The sequence below is a fragment of the Homo sapiens genome, chromosome Y (genome assembly GCF_000001405.40).
Source record: "Homo sapiens chromosome Y, GRCh38.p14 Primary Assembly".
Lineage (NCBI taxonomy): Eukaryota > Metazoa > Chordata > Mammalia > Primates > Hominidae > Homo > Homo sapiens.
In genome coordinates this window covers 5,791,592-5,794,925 of record NC_000024.10, presented here as the reverse complement: position 1 = coordinate 5,794,925, position 3,334 = coordinate 5,791,592, and the positions used below count along the sequence as shown (strand labels likewise).

At 34.0% G+C, this 3,334-nt stretch overlaps 1 pseudogene; it reads left to right on the top strand.

The window, feature by feature from the left end:
• RPL26P37 (ribosomal protein L26 pseudogene 37) lies at window positions 1,147-1,669 on the top strand (annotated as a pseudogene).

Sequence of the window (3,334 nt, the reverse complement as noted above, 5' to 3'; positions counted from 1 at the left end):
AATTCAGTAAAGTTACAGGATACAAAATCAATGTAGAAAAAATGAATAACATTTCTATATGCCAGTAGTTAACAATGTGAAAAAAAATAACAAAACAAGAAATCCCATTTACAACAGCCACACATAAATACCTAGAAATTAACCAAAGAAGTGAAAGATTCCTATATCAAAAACTATAAAACACTGATAAAAAATTAAGGAGGACACCATAAAATGGAAAATTATTCCATGTTCATGGATTGGAAGAATCAATATTGTTAAAATGTACGCACTACCAAAGCTATCTGCAGATGCAATAGAGCCTGTATCAAAATACAAATTCATTTTTCACAGAACTAGCAAAAACTAATTCTAAAATGTATATGAAGCCACAAAAGACCCAGGATAGCCAAAGGTATGCTGAAGAAAATGAACAAAAATGGAATAATCACATTATCTGATGTCAAATTATAATACAGAACTATAGTAACTAAAATAGTATGGTGCTGGAACTCAGACCAGACACTTAAACCAATGAAACAGACACAAATCCACACACCTACAGTAAAACCATTTTTGACAGTGATACCAAGAACATATGCTGAGGGAAAGACAGTCCTTCAATAAATGATGCTGGGAAAACTAGATATCCTTATACAGAATAATAAAACTGGTTAACTATCTCTCACAATGATGTGGTTTGGTTATGTCCTCACCCAAAATCTCACCTTAAATTTAATCCCCATAATCTGTGTAATCACCAAGTGTGAAGGGCAGGATCAGGTGGAGGTAATCAGATCATGGAGGCATTATCCCCCATGCTGTTCTCATCATAGAGAGTTTCACCATGTCTGATGGTTTTATAAGCATCTGGCATTTCCCTTGCTTGTACTCACTCCATCCTGCCACCCTGTAAAGAAGGTGCCTGCTTCTCCTTTGCCTTCTACCATGATTGTAAGTTTCCTGAGGCCTCCCTGGCCATGCGGAACTGAGTCAATTAAACCTCTTCCCTTTATAAATTACCCAGTCCCAGGTAGTTCTTCATAGCAGTATGAGAATGGAATAATACACACCATATACAAAATCAAACCAAAATGAATTAAAGACTTAAATCTATGATCTCAAACTACATAACTGCTACAAGAAAACTATCAGGAGTGTGTAGTTCTCTTCCCTTTTGCATCCATCACTGAAGAGGGAGCGGCCAAAATGAAGTTTAATCCCTTTGTGACTTCCAACTGAAGGAAGAGTCGCAAAAGGCATTTCAATGCACCTTCCTACATTCACGGGAAGATTATGTCTTCCCCTCTTTCCAATGAGCTGAAACAGAAGTATAACGGGTGATCCATGCCCATCCAAAAGGATGATGAAGTTCAGGTTGTACGAGGACACTATAAAGGTCAACAAATTGGCAAAGTAGTCAAGGTTTACAGGAAGAAATATGCTACATACATTGAACGGGTGCAGTGGGAAAAGGCTAATGGCACAACTGTCCACGTAGGCATTCACCCCAGCAAGGTGGTTATCACTAGGCTAAAAGTGGACAAAGACCGCAAAAATATCCGTGAACGGAAAGCCAAATCTTGCCAAGTAGGAAAGCAAAAGGGCAAATACAAGGAAGAAACAATTGAGAAGATGCAGGAATAAAGTAATCTTATATACAAGCTTTGATTACAACTTGAAACAAAGAAAAAAGAAAAGAAAACTACCAGGAAAATTTTCCAGGACATTGTTTAGGGCAAAAATTTCTTCAGTAATACTCTATAAGCACAGATAGCCAAAGGAAAAATAGACAAATGGCATCACAACAAGTTAGAAAGCTTCTGCACGTAAGTGATACAATCAAGAAAGTAAAGAGACAACCCATAGAATGTGAGAAAATATTTGTACACTACCCATTTGACAACAGATTACGAACCAGAATATATGAGGAGCTCAAACAACTCTATATTAAATACTCTAATAATCTGATAAAAAAAATGGGCAAAAGATTTGACTAGAAATTTCATGAAAGAAGACATACAAATCACAAGCAGGCACATGAGAAGGTGCTCAACATCATTGATTATCAGATAATTGCAAATCAAAACTCTACTGAGATAACATCTCACCTCAGTTAAAATGAATTACATAAAAAATACAGGCAATAACAAATGCTGATGAGGATGTAGAGATAAGAGAGTCTTTATAAACTGTTGATGGGAATGTAAATTAGTACAACCACTATGGATAACAGTGTAGAGGTTTCTCAGTAAACTAAAAATTGAGCTAATATATGATCCAGTCATCTTACTGCTTGGTATGTAAGCGAAAATAGCAAATCAGTGTATAAAAGAGATATTTGCCCTTCTATGTTTGTTTCAGTACTATTCACAATAGCTAAGACTTGAAAGCAAACTAAGTGTCCATCAACAGATGAATCGATGAAGAAATTGTGGTACATATACACAACAGAGTATATTTATCCACAAAAAGGAATAAGATTAAGTCATTTGCAACAAGGTAGATGAAATGGGAGATCATTATGTTAAGTGAAATAAGCCAGGAACAGAAAGACAAACATCACATGTTCTCACTTACTTGTGGGATCTAAAAATGAAAACAATTGAATTTGTACACAGAGATATTATAAGAATGCTTACCAGAGGCTGGGAAGGGTAGTGGAGAGTTGGGAGTTAGGAGGGAGGTTAATTAGTACAAAAAAGTAGAAAGAATTAATAAGACCTAGTATTTTGTAGGACAAGGTAACTATAGTCAAAAATAACTTAATTGTATATTTTTAAATAACTTAATATAATTGGACTCTTTGTAACTGAAAGAATAAATGCTTGAGGGGATGCATACCCCATTCTCCATGACGTGCTTATTTCACATTGCATGCCTGTATCAAAACACATCATGTACCCCATGAATATATACACATACTATGTACCTACAAAATTTTTTTAAAAATTAAAAAATACAGACTGTGGCTGAATAGATGAAAAAACAAGACTTCGTGATCTGTTGCCTACAACAAACACACTTCATCTATTAAGACACACATACTCTAAAAATAAAAGAATGGAAAAATATTTTATTTCAATATAAACCAAAGATGCAGGAGTAATTATATCAGACAAAATAGATTTCAAGACAAAATGTGTAAGACAAGTCCAAGAAAATCACAATATAATGATAAAAGTAAAAGTGTCAATTCAGTAATAGGATATAACAATTTTAAATATATATATATATATATATATATATATATATATATATATATATATATATATATATACATACACACACACACACACACACATTGAACACTGAAGCACCTGAATGTATAAAGCAAATATTATTAGAGCTAAAC